The sequence below is a fragment of the Homo sapiens genome, chromosome 2 (assembly GCF_000001405.40).
Source record: "Homo sapiens chromosome 2, GRCh38.p14 Primary Assembly".
In the NCBI taxonomy this organism is placed as follows: domain Eukaryota; kingdom Metazoa; phylum Chordata; class Mammalia; order Primates; family Hominidae; genus Homo; species Homo sapiens.
Window position 1 is genome coordinate 222,312,875 of NC_000002.12, and position 24,851 is coordinate 222,337,725.

Here is a 24,851-nt window from a genome sequence, read left to right on the forward strand (position 1 = left end):
CTCGAGACTTCCCTGATTATCCGCATAATCCGTCCTCAAATCCCCTCGTTGTCACTGCATTTTGATGACACGGGGGACTTGGAAAGCACCTATTTTGTGGGGGATGGGGAAGCCCACAGAAAAGCCCCCTGATGGGGGAAGGAGCAACCGCCACCCCGCCCATGTGAGAAAAGAGCCCAGCAGCCAAATGCCGGTGCAAGTATTTACTTAACCTTCCTGAGAACGCAAAGGTAACCGGAGTGTGCGTGCGTGTGTGTGTGTGTGTGTGTGTGTGTGTGTGTGTGTCAGAGAGAGAGAGAGAGAGAGAGAGAAGCAACGTTTAAATAACCCTCCTTTGGTGATCCAAGACCACTTCCAAAACTCAAAATCTAAGCATTGCCTCAGCATCTCCCAATCGGTTTCTAAGATAGGGCACCTGGTGGCGTTTAGTTCATTAAAGTGAGATTAGGAAGACAGTCGCCTTTCAGTAAATACGTTAAATATAATGGCTTTCAAATTTGGCTGCACAATAATCTCACATGGGGTGCCTTTAAAAAATACCGATGCATCTCCTTCTCCGCTGCCCCGACCAATTAAATATATGTCTCTGGGGGCAGGAAGGGTGCTTCTGTAATTTCTTTTTAAGGCTCTCCAGGTAATTCTAACGTGCTAATAGGGTTGAGAACCTCCATAAAGCTCACGTCGGTGGATAAATTTGCTATGTGTGAATTTAATAGGAAATGAGCTTCTAGGGACAAATCATTTGCCTTGCGGAACTTGGCCCTCCAATTTTTTTCCGAGCAAAGACTGTCAATTCTCACTGGAAGGTAATTCTTCCCCAAACTTTGCATCAGATAGAACCTGCTCTCTACCTCTCAAATTTGACTACAAAATATTTTTAAAGTCACACAGTAGTGACACAAATGTGTTATTTATATATGATGGAGAATACTTGTTTATGTGCTATGAGATAGCTGAGTGGACCACATATTACCACAGTTCTTGAAATCATAGTTGTTGAAATAAAATTGTTCTATTCTTGCAGTGATTAAACATGCTCTCTTCTGTTTATTTTGTGGTATGTTTTGTAAGATTAAAAGCTAAGGGAACTTTTTGCATATTTTCTCCACTCTCTTCCTACTTCAATATCCCCCACTCAACCCCATGGAGATGTGGTATTTCTAAACCAAAGATAATCCAATTTTACATGCAAAGGCAGCTTAAAAAAAAAAAAAAGGAAGTGTGCACATTCTTCCTCAGCTCCTAGGAATATTCTTGGAAATTAGGCATTGAATATTCTTACTTCTCCAAGTATATTTTATAATCAGAAATTATTGTGAATTCATCACAGAAACAAACTTGTTTTTCTTTGGCATATTTCAGTCCGCTTAAGAGTACAGAAGGCTTAGAATCAAAACTGATTGGATGAAACAATGCCAATATATATTACAAAGCTTATCTTATATGGAAAATCAAAAGAGATCTCTAGCAGAGGATAAATTCAATTTCTTACACTTTCTTCATTCACATAACTTCAAACTAAGATCTGGCTGCAGTCATTTCTAACATTCATTTCAGAAATAGATACTACTGTAAATATTAGCTGCTCCTCAAACAAACTTGCACTATAACAAATACAATAAAAAACATATGATTTCAAAGGAAGACGTGTAATGCATATTTAGCAAGCATGCAGTTCATTGTCCATAAAGTGAATTTCATCATCTTTGTATAATAGCAGAAATGTGAAATACAAATATAGCTAACAGGAATTAAATGATTAAAGAGGGTACGAGTTGAATCACAGAATAACTGGGGGATTACTTAGTTATTAAGATCATAATAACTGGGAAATTGCTTAGTTATTAAGATCATAAAATTAGCAATTCTATGAATAACGATTTATTAAAACGGCAAAGATTGAATACTTAAGAAAACAGGGAGTAACAAATAGTAAGAAATTTAATAGATCTTTTTCTCATGTTGGAAATTCCACTGCAATGTGCTTTTTTCCCAGTTACGCAGGTGCTGCTAGCCTTGGAGGCGACAATGTAGACATGTTCACAAAGATACCTTAAAATGTCACACAATGCAGAACTGATTAAAAATGGAGGCCAAATGTCCTTTAGTCTCTCTAGCGGTTCCTATCGCTGAATATAAAACAGTAAGAGTTCCACTGTTATAGTGCTAATTTTTCTCAAAACTCAAAGTGCTTGCCATAAGTATTTTTTTTTTTTTGCCTTTCAAAAATTCTTATGAAGTAGGGAAGGAAACTATTTACCTAAGCCTCCCAGGATCTCAGGAGTTATGGTCAGTGTGAGTCTGGAAAGCCAAGTCACTTAAGATTAATTCCAGAGTGTCCCTTCAGCAGACTCAACAGAACATTTATCAGCCACTCACTATGTGCCCAGAACTGGTTAAGGCTTTGCAGATCAAATGGATGACCAGATAGACAAAGTTCCTGTTTATGTCTTTACATTCTGCAGGAGAGTGATGAAAAATGCAACTGATAACTAAGACTACTGCAAACAGTATAACACATATTATACAAAGTAAATCTCATTAAGAAAGTAAAACTGGGATAGATACCCACTGGGAATAGAGTGGCCAGGGCAGACCTCTCTGGGGAGGTAATATTAGACACTTGGAGACCTAAATAAAAGCAAGGTCCATATAGGGCTTTAGTTTCCAAAGAATTTTCATGAATTTACCCTCTTATGTGTACAAATCTTCACACCAACTCCATGAGGTAGGGGGCGCTGATACTCCCCACCCCTAATTTTATAGATGGGGAGCCTGAGACTCAAAGGAGGTTAAATGATTTTTAACGGTCTTTCCGACTAAAGAGAGAACCAATGTTCAGGCTTACACCTCCTGCCTGCAGATACTGACCCCAAATCCAATGTGCTTTCTAGATGTGCCTGTTGTTCACTAAATCATATTGTATTCAGAGACTGAATGTTTAATTCGCCACCTGCATCATGAGTTTCTTTCACCTGAAATGTAGATCCTATGAAAGCATGATGATGAGTCTAACCTGTAGCCCTAGAACCTAGGCAGAATGTGGCCCATGGGGACCAGGAGTTTCCAAGCAGGTACAGAGACCAGACCAGGCCTGGCTTTTTGTAGTGACTCTACTGGTAGTAGAGGTGTCCAGGATTGAATCAAGCTTTTCCAAGATGAAGAGTTGCCATGGGAAGGGAAAAAAAAATACCACTTTCACCAGGAATCCTCCAGACAACTTACTTGCTATTTCAACAATTACTTCTTAAACTCCTGCTTTGTCTAAGGTGCTGGTGTATAGGTGTTTCCACGTAAATATAAATGATTAAACCCAATCTGCTGAATGGAGAGAGGGGAGAGAGACCTGAATGCCAGATAACCACTAGAAACCAGACAGATATTTTCCATGACCACATCCTGCCACTCAGTTCCTGATGGCAAAATCAGAAATTAGCAATAAAGCATGGTAAGCCACAGAAAATCTCTCTCCATGTTTAGATACTGATCTGCTAAGTGTGTCTCTTTGACTTCAAAGTATTCTAACTCAAATTTCAATTACATGAAATTTACACGTGCAATCTATAATAGAAGCAAAATGTGGCTTCTGTTGCCATCGAGGTGATTCAAGAATGTATTTCTCAGTTATGAGGAATCTTTTAGGTTACATTATTGGCATACTTCTCTGGAGCACAAATAAACTCTAAAAAGAAACCTGGTGCCCAAAGTAACCTTAGACAGACTTCTAGGTTGCCAGTTTAGCACACATAAAAAACTCATGTGTGTGTACACATGTACAATGGTTACAGCCACAAAGCCAAGTTGTTACCAGTATGCATATATTTTATACATAATATATCTTTAAACATAAACCTAATACATACATATATACATGTGTAGCTGCACTTGTGCAACTCAACAGTTTTTAGTGCAAACAGAATCTTAGTAATGGAGGTAAATAAAGAATGAATAAGAGGTAAAAATGGATATAGAAGTAAAACACAAGACATGGGGGTATAAATAAATTAAAACTAAGTTCTGAAAAGTGACTTTTAGTAATAGAAACCTAAAAACATTTCATAGAAGGCAAGAACAAAGTCTGACAACAGAGTTTAGTTTTAGTGGACATTGTGGTAGTAAATATGTAAGTTACTTCTCTCTTCAGAATACAACAGATCTCACTGGGCCTTCCAGGGTCATTATTCCTAGAAATAATCCCACTAAATGCCCATCTTAGCAACGCACATTTCCATGTGTGAGTTATTTCTCTCTCAGCCCCATTTAAAAATGTGAAATTTGGATTTAGAAGGGGACATGTATTTAAGGAAGAGAAGTGCCACACAAATAATGGAGCAATTTTACCATGAAATTAATGTCATGAAAATAGATATTTCTATAAATACCTCTTGTTTTTATTATTAAGACAATGCAGACATAAAACACTTCATACTGTAGTTTCTACATTGCAGCCAAACCACTTATCAATGGCCAATAAATTACTTCACTCCTATGATAGATACAAATGCTCGATTCAAGTTCAATTAATAGAATAGTGTCAGGATATCATGCAGACAGCTTGCATAAATACTCGAGGAATAATAGCATACCTTCAGTAGATTCTGTGATTTTTAAGCATGAAAACTTTGTCTTATTCCAAATTTCAAAAGATGGAATAAAGAATGTTTTCATATAAAATACATTTGGAACAGTTTTCCTTCTTAAAAAAAAAGGCATCTAACCCACTTGCAACATATACTGGCAATTCATCTTTGTAGTTACAAAATCAGATAGATATATATTCTTTTTCATCTCATGTGACTGTATGTGAACATTTCAGTAATTCCAACAATATCAAACAGCTAAATTCAAAATCATATAATACTTTCTAATAAGTGTATACGATATATATCTTTTGTAGCCAAAGGCAGAAAGACCTTCAGTTAGTTGATTTCATGTTTGGGCACTAGTTTATATTTTATCAGATAATTAAAAGTCATTAGTTATTTCACAGTATAAAATATTGAATCAATTACCAACAGGCTTTTATTTTCTGCTCCTAATTTCGAAATGTATTTGGACTCGAGGTATGGGAATAATGTCACTGCTTATCAAACAATTTTCTGGAAATCTTAATGCACAAAAATTTCCAGATTTATATATTCAAAAATAAATTATATGTTAAATGAAATTAAGAAAAAAAGGCGAGGGGAAGGAGAAAATCTAGTTTATATTCTGTGTGAATAGCTTTCAATATCTTCCAGGTGGGGGCAACCGTAAGCCACTTTTGAGAGAAGGGAGAACAGGCTCTTTAAGCTCCCTGAGTCTAGTTACAGAAGACTTCCTGGCAGTAACACCGTGAATAAAACAACCACAAGCTTCCAGGAGATGAGACTTCTAGGCTCTGCTCCAGACAACACCCGGCCATGGGCAACAGGGCCCACCGCCCTGGGCGCGCCGCAGCCTCGGCCACTCCGAGTCGGCTCCGATCGCGCACGCGCGCCGTGCACCTGCCCCATCGCGCCCAGCTGCTGCCTGAGCTCCGGGCACGCCCGCGCTGTGCCGGCGGGGAGTGTCCGTCACTCTCAGCGCTCAGGATCTCTCCCTTTCCAGGACCGCTAGGAAGCAGGAAATCCTTTTCCTCTCACGTTTACATCCCATTCATTCTTCCTCCGGGCAATTCAAGTCCATTCACAGCCGCCACAGATGCACGTGTGCACGCGCGCAGCTGCACCTTTAAAGAAACTCTCAAGTCCTGGCGGCCAGAAAACCAGCTTTCAGGCGGGGCGGTGGGGCTCCCCCTCCCCTTGCTTCGTCTCTGCAGATCTTTGTGCTCTAGGGAGGGATGGCCGCACATTCTGACGAGGACGAGGGTGGTGCATAACGCGGAGGTCAATTTTGCACAGTCCAGGCAAAAGAGACCCCCCCCCCCCACCAACATCCCTTCCTGTTCAGTTTCCCTCTCTGGCCCAGCGCGAAGGGCGAGGGGCGACAGAAGCCCGAGGGACAGAAAACCGAGGCTCCTCAGTGGCCGAGTTGGGAGAGAGTGTGAGTCCAGGAGAGCCCGGGGGCAGCAGGGAGAGGGTGCAGAAGCTCGAGCGCACCGAGCCAGAGGCCCCCTCTTCTCCCGCCACGCGGGGCTGGAGGTGCAGGCGCCGGTTCCGCGGCGTGGCCCGGCTATGTGTCGCTCCTCCGCGCGCCGCCCGCCGCAGCCCGTGCCCTCGGGCCGCCGCCGCCGCCGCTGCCCCCCGTCGAGCCCGCGGCCGCACCCTCGGGCCGATACTTGAGCCAGCAGATGACCCAGGTGACAACGACCGAGAAGAGTGCCAGGATGCTGGCCACCGACAGGCAGATGGGCCCCACGGGCGAGGGCGAGGGCGACCCGGTGGCCGGTGCCTCGCCAGGGGGCGCCCCGCCTCCGGGGGTTCCCCCGCCGCCGTAGTGGTTGACGAAGATGAGGCCGGTGAAGAGCAGCACCACCATGGAGAGGAAGGAGAAGACCACGCACACGCAGCCAGCGGTGAGCGCCGCGCGCTTGCAGTTCTGGCAGCTGTCGTAGGCGCCCGGGGCGCGCAGGCCGGGGCGGGCTCGAGGCCCGGGGGCCGCGTCCTCGGCAGGCGGCGGCGGCGGCGGCTGCGGTGGGGCGGGGGAGGGCGGCGGTGGCGGGGCCGGGGTGGGCGGCGGGGCAGCAGCGGGCGCGGGCAGGCGCGCGGGCAGCGGCGGGAGGCGGTCCTGGGGCAGCGGGTCGTGCGCTGCGCGCAAAGCCAGCGGGAAGGCCTCGGCTAGCTTGGTGTTGTTGGGCAGGCCGTGCACGCGGCTGTCGGGCAGCGGCGTGCGGTGGCGGCACACCGGGCACGCGATGGCGCCGGGCGGGCAGAGCCAGGGCGGCGGGCGCGGCGGGCGCTCAGGCGCGGCGGCAGCGGCGGCGGCGGCGGCGGCGCGGAGCTGCAGCTGGCTCAGGCACTCCTGGCAGAAGGTGTGCAAGCACGCCAGCAGCTTGGGCGCGCGCCGGTCCGCGTCGAAGTAGTTGTAGCAGATTTTGCACTCGTAGTCCTCAAGCGGAGGGAGGCCGGAGACCGTCTCCGCTGCGTCCCGGGCTCCTGCGTCTCCGCAGTCCGGGGCTCCCTTCGCGGCGACCCCAGCTCCCTCCCGGCTCCCGGGGCTGCTGCTTGGGCTCTGCTGGCTGCCGCCGCTGTCGCTCGCCGGCGCTGCCATGGCATGATCCGCCCCTCATCGGGGGCAAGGTGAGGTGCCTTCCTCCCCCTGCACCGCCGCCTGGGCTCCGGGCGGGGAGGAGGCGCTTCTGCCTCCCCCCTCTGACTGCTGTCGCCTGGCGGGGGAGGCACCGCTGGCTGGGCCAGGCGGGGGCGCAGCAGCGACCGCCTCCCCCTCCCGCCTCCCCGTCCCCCGCCCCCGGCGCGTGCACCACGGTCCCTCCCCGTCCCTGGGCTCCTCTGCAGTCCCCCTCGGCCTTCTCAACGCAGCTTTCCCAGCAGCTTAGGATATCGGTTTTTGTTGGACTTGAAATTGGGAGTTGAGGGCGGCCTGGAGGCGCTCGGGAAGGAGATTTGGGGTGCGGCTGCTTATAAAGATGTTGCCTTTTACCCCAGCAGTCCCCCGCCCCCTACGCGGGGTGGTGGCAGGAAACCGGTTCCTGAGTTTTCCTTCTTTCTCTTCCTCGACACGACCTCCCCACCAGTGTGTTTCTGTTTATCCTCCTCGCCCGGGGGCTGGGTCCCTGGCGAAGCCTCGTTTTCACCCACCCACCCCCAAGCCAGAGCTCACCAGTGATGTAATGCGGGACCCGCGCGGGGAGGGGAAACGGCAGCCTCAACCGCCTGGCAGCGGCGGTTTCTTCTCTTCGTGAAAATCGTGATCTCATCTCTCCGTCCATGGGCGAAAAAACAGCCATCACCAGGCCATTCACGCTTTGTGCTTTTGTTAGCAGAGCCCAGGCAGCCCTGCAGCCCACATCTAGGGTACAAACGGAACGGCGGCGTTTTCCTTGTATCATTTAGAGGAAATTTTTGAGCTGAACAGTATTTTTTTTCTCCCTCTCTCTCTCTCTGAAATATTGCTGAGATTTAAAGGAGGACGAAGACAACAGATTCATAGCTGGGTCTTGCTGTTTTCCTGACGCTGACCACAGCGGATCTAGGTGGCTATTTCGTTGGTGCACAGGCGTTCACAGAGGCAGAGAGGGGAGAAAGTTGTCAAACAGATTCACAGACTGTCAAAGTGCGGCTTAAACCGAGTTCCTGGGCTCCCTCACTGGCTTCGTCCACTTAAACTTTTAACGTACACATGTAGAGAGCTGAAACTCCAGGGGTAACATGGGACAGGTCCTCTTGATTTAATGAAAACAGAAGATCAACTGGACCGGGTAGCAAGAAATAAGGCTTAAGAAGCACTGGGTAGGTGACAGGAGTGGTGGGCTTGAGGACCAACTGAGGGGTGGTGTTCAGATACTCCTAACCAGAAAGTCTGTCCCCCGATTTCTCCAGGTTGGGCCTCACCCTATGAGCAGGGAACCCACCTTCCCCCTCAACAAAAGAAAAGATGACTTTGGAATGTTCTGGATTCCCACAGCTGGGAATGTTCCTACTTTTTTTTCAGTTTCTCTGCAGAAGACAGCAAGATGCCCCAGGGAATGTTTGTGAAAAAGGATGACTGGATGGGAAGCAAGCTGAAGAAAAAGAAGGAAAGAAAGAGAGAAATCAGTAAATCACCACACAAGAGGTGGAGAAGAGGACTTATAAATATTGTTTCTATGACATTTGAAAATAAATGTTTTACTCCATGCTAATAGTGAATGTGATGTCTTCAGTTTGAAGGGCTTTAAGTGAAGCTCATTAAAACCCACTATTTTCCATTTCCTAGTTTTTAATTTTGTAATTATTACTTGGGGTAATAACATTCTTTCAATTTTTTAAGCATTTCACTTAGTGATGGGGTGGTGATCAGAGAGGGTGGGTTGAGGGGACATCCTGAGAAGGCCTTAGTCTGGCCTTGGAATATTACAAAGTGACACTAACCTAACTATAGGAAGTGGCTTTCTGTCCTCTTTCCCTCATTTAGTTGTATGATTGGGAAAAGCCTGAAAATGCTCATTTATGCAGTGTTAAACTGGGTTCTTGTGCTTTAAGCCTTGAGTAGCTGTGTGCTGAGATGAGACGTAATGCTGATGTAGGACATATTTAAAACAGAGTATCTGGGAGAAGAGAAGCACATGAACAGGAGGGCTAGTGTGGCCTCCATACCAAGTGACTAAAAATAGTTCTGAAGGTCTGTATGTTTGAATATGGTGTGCATATGGGCAAAACACTTAAGATTTTGAAGCTTCACTTTATTATGCATTCTCACCATTGAATGACAGACTTGAGGAACAGAGTGTAGGATGACACTGGGCTTTCTCAAGCTCAGCATAATTGACATTTGGAGCTGGATAAGTCTTTGATGTGGGGCTGTTCTGGGCATTGTTCAATGTTTAGCAGCATCTCTGGCCTCTACACACTTGATCTCAGTAACACCTCTCCCCAGTTGTGACAACCAAAAATGTCTCTGGTTGAGGACCATGGAGCTACCACAAAGTCACAGATTTGGTTAAAGTGAAACCAAAAGCAGTAATATCTTACAGCTCCTAACTAGTGTAAGATAGCATTCTCAAAGAATTTAATGACTACAGGCATTTCTTCTATAGCTCATGGTCATTTAGATAATACTGAACTCTCTTTGAGAGGTCCAGTACAGCTTTTGTCAATAACACATCCTGTTGATGGAGTCATAAACAATTGCGAGAATTTGGTTAACCATAGTAAAATTTACTGTCTGAGTTTGGATAGGTTTTTCAGAGGAGCCCAAATCAATTATTTTATATCCTAGAGTCAATCATTCATTTTTAGGACTCTTAAAAATGCCATGTGGGGCTTCTGTAGGTACAGGGAGGAGGCGTGACATTGCTAAAGAGTGTGAGTTTGTGTGACACAGGCCATAGACACCTGCCTTAACAGACTGTCAGGCCAGTGCCAGTGTCACCTGAAGGTTTAAGTAGTAAAGCCTGGTCATTCATGTAGGAATTAGAGTTCCACTTTAGAGAAAGATGTATTGAAAGGGATCAGAAACAAGGAACTCGGCATAAGTTGAGCATCCCTAATTTAAACATCTAAAATCCAAAACTTTTTGAGCACCAACATGATGCCACAAGTGAAAAAATTCTACACCTGACCTCATGCGATGCATATATAAATTAATATAATATTAAAAATATTATATAGGCTGGGTACAGTGGCACAAATCCATAATCCCAGCACTTTAGGAGGCTGAGGCGGGTGGATCACTTGAGATCGGGAGTTCGAGACCAGCCTGGCCAATGTGGTGAAACTCCGTCTCTAAGAAAAAATACAAAAATTAGCCAGGGGTGGTGATGGGCGCCTGTAATCCCAGCTACTTGGGAAACTGAGGCAGGAGAATCCCTTGAACCCGGGAGGGGGAGGTTGCAGTGAGCCAAGATCGCACCATTGCACTCCAGCCTCGGCAACAGAGATTCTGTCTCAAAAAAAAAAACAAACAAACAAAAAAAAAAAAATATATATATATATATATATACACACACACACACAACACACACATATATACAGAGCGAGACTCTGTCTCAAAATATGTATCTATGTAATGTATACATATACCATTTTTATATATACATATGTATATATATATATAGAGAGAGAGAGAGAGAGTATAAAATTACCTTCAGGCTATAGGTATAAGGTGTATACGAAACATAAATGAATTTCATGTTTAGGGTCCCATCCCCCAGCTCTCTCATTATGTATATGCAAATATTCCAAAATCCGACATCTGAAACAGTTTTGATCCCAAGCATTTCAGATAAGGGATATTCATCCTGTATTTATGTCAGTATTTGAACTCGCTTTGCAAGAATCTTGTTCATGCTTGAACATATTAGACATCCACTATTTGCTGAATTGTTTTATTTTTGAAGATTTGTGTATAAATGGGAGACAGCCATGGTCTCAGGCAATCTCTTACATAGATTTCCTCTACTGACCACCTAAAGAGAGAGAATGCTTTAGTTTTGGGGTTACTGTCTCACAAAGCACTTAGTGGGGAAAAAGCATTAACGTAGGGTGTGAGTTGACAGTCCTGAGTCCACATCCTAGTTCTGCTACTCATCATTTGTGTAGTATTAGATGTGCTATTTGGCTTCTCTGTGCTTTAGTTTCCCAAACTGTAAAATGAGGATAAGGGTGGTTACTGCATAAGTCTGTTGTGAAGACTGAATATGCTGTACACATAACACACAAAGACTCCTGGGCTGCTGTTAACACTCAGTATTATCTATGTCAGTGGTTCCTATACCTGATCTCAGTAATTCTTATGAAACCCTGTGAGAGAGGCTCAGAAAGTTTATGTAATCAGCGTAAGGTGACACAGCCAACAGGAGCAAAGTAGTTCTCATGCATCTCTTCTGTTATTTCAGAGATAGAGATACAGGTAGTAGCTCAGTCAAGAAGACCAGGCAGAGGCCTGACCTATGAATTTAATCACACATTATTGATCTACTACTTGCAATAAATAAAGCCCTGCATAAAACATGAGGACAAAGTGAAATCTCACTGTAGATATTGGAGGAATATATATACATAGGCAGATCATGCCACTCAGAAGCAGGTACTAGATGGTTCAATCAAAGCCTTGACATTTTAAAATAGAAACCAGGTCGATTCAATCAACATTTATTGAGGTCCTATTCCAGAAGCCATTGGTGCTGGTGATAAAATACCTGGCCTCCTGGACCCAATAATTTAATAGACGAGCCAAGAGGAGCCTGAGGAGGCAGGATGACTACATGTGATGTAGTAACATCCTGGAGGGAATCCTAGAGCAGAAAAAGAGCATTAGGGAAAAGCTAAGGAAATCCAACTAAAGCATGGACTTTAGTAAATAGTAGTGAGTCAACAATCAGACTGTCATAATGTATGAAAATGGATAAAGCTAGATGATGAGGATACAGATGCTCATTATACTACTATCTTCCGTGATATTTAAAAATGTTCATAACAGTCATCAATCTTAGAGACACACTCAAAATTGGGATCATCTGTATAAAAATAGCACAAATAATGCCTACATTTTTGAAGACCTCACTAAGCACATTAGTTTTGAGGGACTGGAGAAAATAATCTGGAATCTAGCTCTTTTGTTCATTTTTTTTCCTTTGGCCTTTTTTTTGTTCTCTGCCGTCTTTAAGAAATCTACGGCTGGGTGCAGTGTCTCACACCTGTAATCCCAGCACTTTGGGAGGTAGAGATAGGAGGACCACTTGAGGACAGAAGTTCAAGACTAGCCTGGGCAACACAGAGAGACTGTCTCTACAAAAAACTAAAATATTAGCCTGTAGTCCTGGCTACTCAGGAGGCTGAGGCAGCAGGATCCCTTGAGCTGTAGAGTTTGAGGCTGCAGTGAGTCACACTCCTGCACTCTAGCCTGGGCAGCCGAGAAGACACTGTAAAAAAAAAAGAAAAAGGAAAAAAGAAAGGAAAGGAAAGGAAGGAAGGAAGGAAGGACGGAAGGAAGGACGGAAGGAAGGAAGGAAGGAAGGAAGGAAGGAAGGAAGGAAGGCAGGCAGGCAGGCAGGCAGGCAGGCAGAGAGAGAGAGAGAAAGAAAGGGAGAGAGAGAGAGAGAAAGAGAGAAAAAAGAAATCAAGGAAGGCTAATGGTGGTGGTTCACACCTTTAATTCCAGGACTTTGGGAGGCAGAGGTGGGAGAATCACTTGAGGCCAGGAGTTCAAGACCAGCCTGGGAAATATGGCCAGCTCCTATCTCTACAAAATATAAAAATAGATAAAAATTAGCCAAGTGTGGTGGTGTGCACATTTGGTCCCAGCTACAAAGGGAGGCTGAGGAGGGAGGATCCCTTGGGTACAGGAGTTCAAGGCTACAGTGAGCCACGATTGCACCATTGTACCTAGCCTGGGTGACAGAGCAAGATTCTATCTCAAAACAAAAACAAAACAGAAAGAATTCAAGGAAGCGCTGAAGCGGGAGGGGAGCCCAGATGTCCCCTTTTTGAAACAGGGAGGAAAATCAAGGCTGAGCTCACTGCCCAGCACTAGTCCTAGGAGTCCTTCTCTTCCTCTCTCCACTCTTCACAGGCGCTGCTCAGACCTCAGACCACTGCCCTTATCACTCAAGGCATTGGTGATATCATTGCTCCAAAACCCAGACTGCATGGGCCAAAGCAGATGAAGAAGAAATATGGGAGCTTATCAATGTTATATAATAAATAGAACAATGGTAAAATGGCAGAATGGAAAAATAGGAGCTTCTTCCACGGTGGATTTTGTAAGAATTACTAAATCCACCGTGGAAGAAATACTTGTTTAAATACCTGTTTCTAATCTACACATGGTCTCTGAAGCTTTTTGTTCTTCAGATCTTTTCAAAGTTTTAAAAGATGCAGGTCTAGGAGGCTGGGCCATCTCCTCACCTGGGAAAATGATTGTCCTACCTTAATATCTGGAAGCCATTCATGAACTTATGCTTTCTATGCCAACCAGCTACAGGCTCAATTCTAAAATAGCTTTTTCCCTTCTAATATTTCCTACACTTTGTATGCCAAACACAAGATCAAATGGAAATACATGCAATGTACTTTATTTCTGAAACGTCATTGTAGCCTGGACTCTTTCAATCAAGTCTGCATTGTTGCCAGAAAATTTTTTCCCTCTTATAATTCTACCCTTTTATTTGATGCTATTAATATAAACACACTTTATCAGGTCAAAAATGTGTGTTGAAGTTGCAAAAGCTCTTTCTCTTTGAGCTATGAATATTCTCTTTGAGAAATAAAAGTAAAATACAGCACTTTTAATATAAAGAAATACACCTTCTTGGATGCCACAAATAGGAGTAAATGAAGCTGCAATTGTATTGCATTTCTTACCTTTATTTGTCCTGGCACTTCTATCAAAGCAATGATTCTCAAAACTCAAAAGGCTGCCCTAGTGCTGTGAAATACTAAAGGCACTCAAGTTCCCAACCTGACACCAGGGATGGTCTTGACCTTGAGGGAGAATAAAAGCCAAAGATGGTGTTAAGTCTAATCAAGTCTTTGACTGAAAGAAGAGGTATTGTAGGTTCCCATGGACTGTAGGAGGTGAGGAGATGGCCCAGCTTCTGAGACTCTAGTCTCCTTGATACTTCGCAAAGATCTAAGTAGTAAAAGGCATCACAGACTGTATGGCCAAGCAGTCCTTGATGTGTTTGATCACCAGTTGCAAAATTTGAAAGGAAAGGAAACATCAAATGAAAACATTTCAGACTTGGTGTCAATTTCTCACTTTTAACACCCATTATACACATATGCCATCTATTTATAATCTCTTAAGTATCCTGGCTCCAAGGGGAATTTATTAAAAGAACTCATTTGATTAGAACAAAAGTGAACAAAGGTACACAGAAAGAGAAGTACAGTTGAACAACATGAGTTTGAACTGCGTAGGTCCATTTATACATGGATTTTCTTCCTCCTTTGCCACACCTGAGTCAGCAAGACCAACCCCTCTTCCTCCTCCTCCTCAGCCTACTCAACATGGAGACGACAAGGATGAAGACCTTTATGATGATTTACTTCCACTTAATCAATAGTAAATATATTTTCTCTTCCTTATGATTTTCTTAATAATATTCTTTTCTCTGGCTTGCTTTATTGTAAGAATACAGCTTATAAAACATATACAAAATATGTGTGAATCAAGTATTTATATTATCTATAAGGCTGCCGGTCAATGGTAGGCTTTTAGTTTTTGGGGAGTCAAGAGTTACATGCAGATTTTTGACTGAACAGGGGGCTGGTTCCCCTAACCTCTGAATTGTTCAAGAGTTAACTATAGGCCAAGCACAGTTAACAGTGTGCTTGGCCTACAGTTTACAGTGGCTACACAGTTCTACACAGATTACAGTGGCTCACGCCTGTAATCCCAACACTTTGGGAGGCCAAAGTGGGTGGATCACTTGAGGCCAGGAGTTTGAGACCAACCTTACCAACATGACAAAATCCCATCTCTACTAAAAATACAAAACTTTGCCAGGTATGGTGGTGGGCACTTGTAATCCCACCTACTTGGAAGACTGAGGAAGGAGAATCTGTTGAACCTGGAAAGCGAAAGTTGCAGTGAACCAAGATTGTGCCACTGCACTCCAGCCTAGGTGATGGAGTGAGACTCTGTCACAAAAAAAAAAAGTCAATTGTTCCAGAAAGTCTAGTTATAAATGGCCTTCATTCATCTTTGAGGAGCTCCCAAACAGTCACTGTTTTATTTATGGTTTTGTGTGTGTGTGTGTGTGTGTGTGTGTGTGTGAAAAACACATAACATAAAATTTATCATCGTAACCATTTTTAAGTGTATAGTCCAGTAATGCTAAGTATATTCACATTGCTATGAAACAGATATCCAGAGCTTTTTATCTTTCAAATCAGAAACTCTATACCCACTAAAGAACAAATTCCTTTTCCCAGCTCCCCCCAGCCCCTGGTAACCATCATTTTACTTTCTGTTTGTATTAGGTTGGTGCAAAAGTAATTGCAGTTCTTGCCATTAAAAGTAAACTTCACCACTTAGATACCTCATATAAGTGGAATTATATGTTTTTTGTCTTTTTGTTACTGGCTTATTTTACTTAGAATAATCTCCTCAAGGCTTATTCTTGTTGTAGCATGTGTTAGCATTTCCTTCCTTTTTAAGGCAGAATGATATTCCATTGTATGTGTATATCACATTTTGTTTATCCATTCAACCATCAGTGGACACTTTGGGTTTCTTCCAGCTCTTGGCTATTGTGAATAATGCTGCTCTGAACATGGGAGTGCTGATATCTCTTTGACGTACTGATTTCAGTTCTTTTGGACATATACCCAGAAGTGAGATTGCTGGATCATAGGGCAGTTCTATTTTTAATTTTTTGAGAAAGTTTCATACTGTTTTCCATAGCAGTTGCATCATTTTACAATTCCACCAGTAGTATGTAAGTATTCCAATTTTTCCACACCCTTGCCAACACTTATTATTTTGTTTTTTGGGTTTTGCTGTTGTTGCTGTTGTTTTTGATAGCCATGCTAATGGGTCTCAGGTGAAATCTCATTGTGGTTTTGACTTGCATTTCTCTGATGATTAGTGATATTGAGCAACTTTTCATATGCCCGTTAGCCATTTGTATATCATCTTTGGAGAAATGTCTGTTCAATGCCTTGGCCCATTTTCTAATTAGGTTATTAAATTTTTTTGTCATTGAGTCATTGTAGAAATTCCTGACATATTCTGGATATTAACCCCCATAAATATATGATTTGCAAATACTTTCTCCCATCCCATAGGTTGCCTTTTCATTATGTTGATTGTGTCCTTCAACGTGGAGAAGTTTTTAGGTTTGATGCAGTCCCATTTGTCTATTTTGCTTTTGTTGCCAGTGCTTTTGGTATTGTATCCAAGAAATCATTGCCAAGTCTAGTGTCATGAAGCTTCACTTATATATTTTCTTCTATGAGTTGTATAATTTTAGGTCTTACTTTTAGGTCTTTAATTCATTTTGATTTAATTTTTGTATATGGTATAAAATAAAAGTCAGCTTCATCCTTTTGCACATGTATATCCAGTTTTCTCAGTACCATTTCTCCACTTCTCTGTCCTTTCCCCCTTGAGTGACCTTGGCACCCCTGTCAAAGATCATTTGATTATACACATGGGTTTATTTCCGGGCTCTCTATTTTTTTTTTTTTTTTTTTTTTTTTGATACAAAGTCTCACTCTGTCACCCAGGCTGCAGTGTGCTGGCGCAATCTTGGCTCACTGTAACCTCCACCTCCTGGGTTCAAGCAATTCTCCTGCTTCAGCCTCCTGAGTAGCTAGGATTACAGGTGTGTGCCACCACACCTGGCTAATTTTTGTATTTTTAGTAGAGATGGGGTTTCACCATGTTGGCCATGCTGCTCTGGAACTCCTGACCTCAGGTGATCCGCCCTTCTCAGCCTCCCAAAGTGCTGAGATTACAGGCGTGAGCCACTATGCCCAGCTGGGGCTCTCTATTTTATTTCGTTGGTCTATTTGTCTGTGCTTGTGACAGTGCCACATTGTTTTGATTTCTGTAGCTCTGTAATATGTTTTGAAATCAGGAAGTGTGAATGCTCCAACTTTGTTCTTCTTTTCCAAATTTGTTTTGGCTATTCAGGGCCCCTTGAGATTCCACATGAATCTTAGAATGAATTTTTCTACATTTGCAAAAAAAGTATTGGAATTCTGATAGGGGTTGCATTGATAGTCACTGTTCTTTGATAAATCCAGTGAAGAATCTTAAAAACATAGTGAAAACTACTGAGACCACAGGAAAAATTTCAATAGCTAGAAGCTTGTATAATTTTTCTCAATCTCTTTGTAAAACAAAACTATTACAGCAGAAAATTATGCAAGCAAACATGTTTGTCTTAGTGCATCTTCTTTTCAGATCTATACATACAGTTTAAATGACACCTATTAGAAAAGAATGAGAGAAACAATTGATTCCTTTGAACATGGTAGTCTTAATAATAATAATAATAGTTATTATCAAAGTACCATATAATTTTTTGGTTTTTATGTTAAAGCATTTAAATTCCATTGTCTCATTTCATTATAGTCTGAAGCAGAATTTCCTGAAATTATGGTCTCTAAAATATTAGTTCCTCAAAAAAAAGTTTTTGTCATCAAATAATTTGGGAAGTATTCCAAACTACATTCTATATTTTCTACTCATTAAAGGCTCTGAGAAGTACTGTTACAAAGATGTAAAGAAATCAGTTCGATGTGGTATAAACAAGTGTTTATCAAATTTTTACAGCCTCAAAATTTTTCTTTTTGTAAACCTGTATCTAAGGTATGACTAAAAGCCTTAAGAGAAGAGAATTTTAAAGAAACAGATTCAGATGCTGCATTATAAATATTGAGTGGTGCAGGAGAGAAAGTGCATAAGACAAAGGGGCACATCTACCAACATAGGAATCGACTTCTCCCTTTATACCTATAAAGGGCTAAAGCTGGGAGTGAGATTCGACATGTATGGAGAACCGGATGTGTTAACAATAAAGAAACAGGCTAATTTCTTCCATATGCCATTCGCATCATCTATTTGAAGCCATGTACCATCCTACGTGCAGCAGTACCTTTGCTGAAAAGAAACAAACAGATTCTAAGGGTATATTGAGCCAAGATAGACTGCCTCTGTTAGATGGTATCTGCTTAATTGACTCTTCACATGATGATGTTTTTGTAATATTTCCCATAGATGGAAATAAGAGACAAATCACCTTTCATCTAGCATGGTTAATCATAATTGGTTGTTTATGTATTTTTGTCTCTGACCATGATACATCCTCCCTCTTAATTTCTTTTGTATTTTAAAAAATGTCTTCTTCCAAAACATTATAAGAATTCAAAAACCTTTAAACAATGTATTATTTATCTTTCTGGCCACACAGATTCCTTCAGAGTCATTACAATCCATCAACTGTGCATTTGCTGACTTAATAATAAGCAGATTTGGTTTTCAGGAGACTGAGGCAGTTGTAAAGCGCAGATCCATTAGGTTCTTTCCCATCCACTATTAGAGTATGTGGGTGAGGTACTCACTTCAAGCAGGGGCAAGCCCATGGACCTGAAGCTTATACCATTTTGGAGGTCCTTTTTAAGAAAAATAATTAAAACTGCTTGGTAAGAAGTTAAGTATTCATTTAGAATTATAAAATAAACCACTGCCACAACAAAACATTTAAAGTTGATAAATTCAGGAACGATCTCAAAATCCAGAAAAAAATTTTTTTCAACTAATTAGCTATCTGACATACCCCTCAATAAAATTATTTGTCTGCATACTATTTGATTGTCTATTCATGCCACAAGAATTTTGTCATACTTTCTGGGAGAGACTAGAAGAAGAAATCAGTATTTCTTCTAGCATGGTGGATCAAACAACATATTTTTAAAAAATTAATAGTATGGAAAGGTTCCTTTTGGCTTCACAATTTGTTGGTATTGGCGCGTACATTTTTAGGATTATTATTAATTTTGGAAACACTTCTCTCAAGTGAATTTCATATATGGGCTGTAAAATTTCAAGGCATTTTAGGGATTTGTTTGTTGCAGGGAGTAATTTTAAGTACTCTGAATTGACGACACTCACTGACCAGCTTATCTTTGGTGTCCCTAATAATGTGGCATATTATGAGGGTTATATGGGGCCCTTCACCTTCCTTTTATAAAGTTAGATGCACAGATATAGGGAGTGGTAAGATTAGGACTGAAAATTGTTTTCTGCACTGGGACAGCTAACCTCTACACGGAAGAATCTGTGAACTGCATAAATATTTCACTAAACCAAAACCAAAGATCAACTTCCTTAAACACGGTCCAAAAATGCCCGTGGCTTCTTCGATGCTACCTAACCCTAACAAGGGGAAGTTGAAGTGGAAAGAAACAATGGTCTTAAAGATTTGCAGTTAAAATATATTCCTGTGAATTTTATGAGAACATATGGACATGGGAACACTTCAAGTTCAAATAAGGGGTCTTGAAACAAGCTTCATTGGTTTCATGGTAAACCCACTTCTGGTTTAAACTCAAATTTTCTTCACCAGAGTTGCTATTGTTACTTTTAAAAGAATGCACATTTGTCTATTGAACTAAAGGGACAGAGTATATAGAAACTATTCAAATACATGAAAGACAGATACATGACTGTATCCCAGCTGGCCAGATTATTAATCTAATCAACCAAGGAGGGGCCTCAAAATGGCTGACCAGAGGCATCCGGAGCTGCCTTCTCCACAAAGAACCAAGATAGTGACTGCATAATCACACTTCAAATAGATCACCGAGAGAGAGAGAGAGAGAGAGAGAGAGAGAGAGAGAGAGAGAGAGACAGAGAGAGAGAGACAGAGAGAGAGAGAGAGAGAGAGAGAGAGAATGCTGGAATTTAAGAGAGAAGTGACAGGAAACATGTAAGACAAGGAAGGAGGGGGAAGGGAGGCAGCCTGCTCAGCAGGCATCTGCTGGGAGCCTAGAGAAGTTCTCCAATGTGGGAAAAGGGTGAATGAGAAACCCCCGGCAGGTCCACCTTCTTACCATGGACTCCTGAAATCCTAGCCCGGACCCTGAGCCATTCAACTCAAGCAGCCCCTGAGACTAACATAGGGAGCTGCCTGGAGACTTCCCACAGTATTCATTCTGAGAGGAAGCTCACACAGGGTCCTAGACAGCTCCTAAATCCTAAGCAGCTACAGGAAGGCACCATTTTGAGAACACAGCCCCTATCATACTGTATTCTGCTGGAGGGCCCAATAGCCCCTGTATCTTCACATCCCTGGAGCCCCATTGACATTCTCCACCTTTATTCACCACCGCAGCTGGCTCTGCTGCCAAGGCCAAAATGCAAGCCATTGTCAGTAACCCAGCTGCCTCCAGTAGCAGGGCCACTGTGCATTTAAAGGCATCCCAAAAAAAGGCTATCTCACTTATAGCAGCCACCTGAGGCCAAAATGTGTGCTCCCCAGCCACCTTACTGTTGCCACTGAAAGCAACCCTGCCCTCCCTAGCAGCAGGGTCCTGGCACAGCTGCTGCTGCTCCCACCCAGGCATTCTGCCAATGGCCTGGGATCACTACATTCCGGCCTACCACAGCCAGCACCTACATGTACCACCAAGAGGGCCTGAAGATAGGCCCACCTGACCCGGCTCCATCCCCCTTCCCCTAGTGCCTGAGCATGATGTCTGGGTGCTTTGGGATTGCCCAACTTCATCTACCATTATTGGCACCTAAGCACCCCTCCCAGGGGCCTGAGGACAGCCCCACCAACCTGCCACTACCACCACAGCTGCCACCCACTTGTATGCCCCAGCTGCAGGCCTAGGGACAAGCCCACCCTGCCCAACACAGTCAGCACCAAGCACCAACACCAGGATAGCCAGATATTGTCCTGCCACTGCTACTGCCATCACCCAGGCCATACTTGATGCCCAGGGGTCCAAGGACCCTCCCACCCACTTGGCTCACTGCTGTGACTGCCAACACCCAAGGAATCCTCCTGGTGGCCCAATAATCAGCTGACCTGAACCCACTAACACCAGTGCCAGTGTATACTACCATGGGGCCCAAGGACAGGGATGCTTGGACTGCTGCTGTCACCACTGGAACCCAAGGATTGGCTTGCTTGACATGCCTGTTCACAGCAAAACTTTACCACAGCCCCTACTAATAACAGCCCCCTAAGCCACTAAAGAAATCATAGGCACTACTGACACTGTTTGTATCCAAAGAAATCATATGGAGACCACACTACTGCACACACCTACAATCAAGGCCAAAGTGTCCTACCCAACCAATAGCATAGATGTGTCTTCAGAAAAAATTTCTCCCCAATGAAAGCAAATTTTAAAAATTGGAAGAAGTGACTATTATGCCAGCTGCACAGCTATCAATATAAGGACACAAGAAACATGAAAAAAAAACAAGGAAATATGACACCTCCAAAGGAACAAATTAACTTTCCACGAACAGATTCCAATGAAAAAGAAATTTATGAAAAACAATCATATTATGATATTAAAGAAGCTCAGTGAAATTTAAGAGAAGTCAGAAAAACAATATAAAGAAATCAGAAAAACAATTCAGGATATGAATGAGAAATTTACCAAAGGGACAGATATCATAAAAAACCAAACAGAAATTCTGGAACTGAAGAATTCATTAAACAAAACACAAAATACATTCAAATGTTTCAACAATAGACTAGACCAAAAAGAAAAACAAATTTCAGAACTTGAAGATTGGTCTTTTGAAAAAACCCAGTCGGACAAAAACAAAGAAAAATTAATAAAAACAAATGAACAAAGCCTACATGACATATGAGACAACATAAAGCAACCATATATTTGCATTTTCAGTGTCTCAGAAGGCAAAGAGAAAACTAGAGAAATATAAAACCTATTTAATGAAATAATAGCTGAAATTGTTTTAATCTAGCAAGAGATTTAGACATCCAGATTCCGGAAGCTGAGAGATCCCCAAATAGATACAATTCAAAAAGGTCTTCTTCATGGTATATTATAGTCAAACTGTCGAAGGCCAAAGACAAAGAGATAATTCTAGAAACAGCAAGAGTAATGTGTCTAGTCACTTATAAGGGAACCCCCATCAGACTAACAGCAGATTTCTCAGCAGAAATCTTAAGACCCAGAGAAAATGGAATGATATATTCAAAGTGCTGAAAGAAAAATAAAATGCCAAACAAAGTTACTATACCTAGCAAAGTTATCCTTCATAAATGAAGGATATATAAAGTCTTTCCCAGAAAAGCAAAAGCTGAGGAAATTCATTACCACTAGACTGGCCTTAAAAAATATGCTTAAGGGAGTCCTACATGTGGAAGCAAAGGGACAGTATCTACCATCACAAAAAAACACAGAAGTATAAAGCCCACTGGTAGAGCAAATGCACAAATGAAGAGTAAGGACTCAAATGTTACCACTACAGAAAGTCACCATATCATAATGATAAACAATAAGAGAGAAAGAAAAGAACAAAGGATACACAAAACAACCAGAAACCAATTAATAAAATTACAAGAATGAGCCCTCACATATCAAGAATTACCATGAGTGTAAACAGATTAAACTTTTCGTTAAGAAGATGCAGACTAACTAGATAAAAATAACATGACCCAGTTATATGCTACCTATGAGAAACTCATCTCTCCTATGAAACTCCTATAGCAGTTACCCCAGCTATTTTTTTTTAAACTATCATCTTCTATATGCTGTTGTCTTCCAAAAATTTATTGAACTCTCATCTGTGAAGGTCCCCTTCTGAATAGCTTAGCTTTTATTCCCTTTTTATTCCTATGCTATAATTTTAATGGGATTTCTGAAGGGAAAGAGGTGAAAAATCTATGCTCCGTATGTGGATGCCATATTGAATTTTTTAAAAGTAAGGATTTCCTACCTGCCCTTGATTTAAAAACTTACAAAGACTCATTATAAAAGATCTGGAAAGTTTTATGACACATTTTTCCCAAAATACCACACAAGAATAAACTTCTGTCTCCTTTAAACATAACATAATCCAGTCAGATGTGGTGGTTCATGCCTGTAGTCCCAGCTACTCAAGAGGCTTGAGGCAAGAGGATCACTTGAGCCCAGGAGTTCGAGGCTGCAGTGAGCTATGATCATGCCACAGCACTCCAGCCTGAGCAACAGAGTGAGACCCTTGTCTCTAAACATAAATAAATAAATATAACATAATCCAGATATTGAACCAGGTTGGACGTGGATACCCAAAGAGAAAATAATAGTTCTCATTTGTTGAATACCTTTTTGTGCATGGTACTTTAAGATATTGCCTCATTAAATACCTATTTTATAGATGAAGAAACTGAGGCTCAGTTATGCAATTTACACAAGGTCATAGATCTATTATAATAAAGAGTAGTTCTGTATCAAACGTAGTAGCATCTGATCTAACCATACATGTTGCCTACTGGGACAAAGCTGCTACAAAATATGAGTGATGCCCACAGAGGCAAGTTCTGAGCATAAAATAAAGACCCAATCTCTATTAAATGGATCATAGCAATAGTCAATGCATACAACACAAAGTGATCAGGAACTTATTTGTGAGTATATGGGATTCTTGACAGTTCTTTCTCCCCAACATTGAACACTTGAGGGAGCTGGTTTAATTGGTCACAGCCTCATGTGGCAAGCAAGCTGTTACCTTCCATTTTAGCTCTGTTATTAAGAGGCTCTGTTGAACTCTGTCCTCAGCATACACGCTTATAATCATATTGACATTTCAGTTTCAGAGAAAAGAAATCATTAATTAAAATGTACATTATTGAACAGTCACAGTACATGTTGGATTCTACTATGGGGATGGCAGTAAATGAGCAATTTATTAATCAATTATTGCTACAAGTCCAAACCATACTGACAAATAACATTAGTTATGTGACTCTAAAAAAAATAGAACTGCTTTACTTACATCAGTGTCATGTTTCCTTTCCTCAGTTTGCAGTTATAAAAGACTGAAATTTTCTGTAGGATAATTAAGTCAAATATTTATTACTATTTTTGAAACTACTTCATGACAATGAATCTTACATATGTAAGTGGAAAAATTAGAACTGTTGCTCTCCAGATGGAAGCTATTCAGAAAAGATGCCATCATCTAGATATGTACCCTGGGGGAAGAGATATTAATCAAAATAAGGGATAGTAATGTAGCTCTTAAGTGGTTATAGCTGGTTTCTAACTTACAAGATAACTGACAAATATGGGGGAGTCAAAGCACATTTAGGCAGAAGCAAAGAGCCCCTGCTTCAGATAGTACAGTTTTCAGGGGAGTGAGGAACATAGATACACCTTGTTTTGTTATTTTAATTATTGACTTAATTTATTGCTGGAAGTGAAATTGCTATCTCTAGAAACCTCGATATAAGCATAGCAATAAGGAAACACAGAGACCTTACAAAGAGCTCAGAACACTAGTCTGATAGTTCTATGGGTTGATAAAACACCTAACTTAGGGAATATTTTATGAGCTAATATTATTTTCCTCAATGAATCTTTTTCCATTAAGTCTTTAAGAAACTTTCACTTTTTGTACTTCATAGATTGAGAATTGGTATGTTGCTTGAACATTCTTCGGAAAAAAAGAATATTTTTGTTACAGTTAGTTAGGGAGGAAAAGCTTGAATGAGAAATTCAGATGAACTCTAGCAAAGTTCAGCCTAATTTGAAAAATAAAATAACAGCCAGGTATAAATTTTGCTA

At 41.8% G+C, this 24,851-nt stretch overlaps 1 protein-coding gene and 1 long non-coding RNA gene across 6 annotated transcripts in view, besides 4 other annotated features; one reads left to right on the plus strand and one right to left on the minus strand.

Moving 5' to 3' along the window:
• Positions 1–1,273: 1,273 nt before the first annotated feature.
• On the minus strand, positions 1,274–7,281 carry RNF228 (ring finger protein 228). Its single transcript, NM_001395871.1, has one exon. The coding sequence runs from the start codon at positions 7,189–7,191 to the stop codon at positions 6,154–6,156; it is 1,038 nt and encodes a 345-aa protein (NP_001382800.1). The 5' UTR covers positions 7,192–7,281; the 3' UTR covers positions 1,274–6,153.
• Positions 5,290–5,885: an enhancer, noted in NCBI's record as "NANOG-H3K4me1 hESC enhancer chr2:223182883-223183478 (GRCh37/hg19 assembly coordinates)". NCBI's record gives its function as "activates a minimal SCP1, AML or CMV promoter by ChIP-STARR-seq in naive H9 embryonic stem cells {active_cell/tissue: H9 hESC(naive)}" and the evidence as "EXISTENCE:reporter gene assay evidence [ECO:0000049][PMID:30033119]".
• The window catches only part of CT75 (cancer/testis associated transcript 75), a 39,440-nt gene continuing 20,185 nt past the window's right edge, over positions 5,597–24,851 (plus strand). The window contains exons 1-2 of one of the 5 annotated variants that reach the window (NR_136638.1): positions 5,597–6,496; positions 8,593–8,848. This is a non-coding gene — a long non-coding RNA (cancer/testis associated transcript 75). Of the gene's footprint in view, positions 6,497–7,786; positions 8,391–8,592; positions 8,849–24,851 lie in introns of those variants that run through there. The other 4 variants (NR_136639.1, NR_136641.1, NR_136640.1 and 1 more) reach the window with 4 other exon arrangements.
• Positions 5,662–5,711: an enhancer, noted in NCBI's record as "active region_17159". NCBI's record gives its function as "activates an Ori minimal core promoter by ATAC-STARR-seq in GM12878 lymphoblastoid cells {active_cell/tissue: GM12878}" and the evidence as "EXISTENCE:reporter gene assay evidence [ECO:0000049][PMID:35858748]".
• Positions 6,182–6,511: a silencer, noted in NCBI's record as "silent region_12367". NCBI's record gives its function as "represses an Ori minimal core promoter by ATAC-STARR-seq in GM12878 lymphoblastoid cells {active_cell/tissue: GM12878}" and the evidence as "EXISTENCE:reporter gene assay evidence [ECO:0000049][PMID:35858748]".
• Positions 7,152–7,461: a silencer, noted in NCBI's record as "silent region_12368". NCBI's record gives its function as "represses an Ori minimal core promoter by ATAC-STARR-seq in GM12878 lymphoblastoid cells {active_cell/tissue: GM12878}" and the evidence as "EXISTENCE:reporter gene assay evidence [ECO:0000049][PMID:35858748]".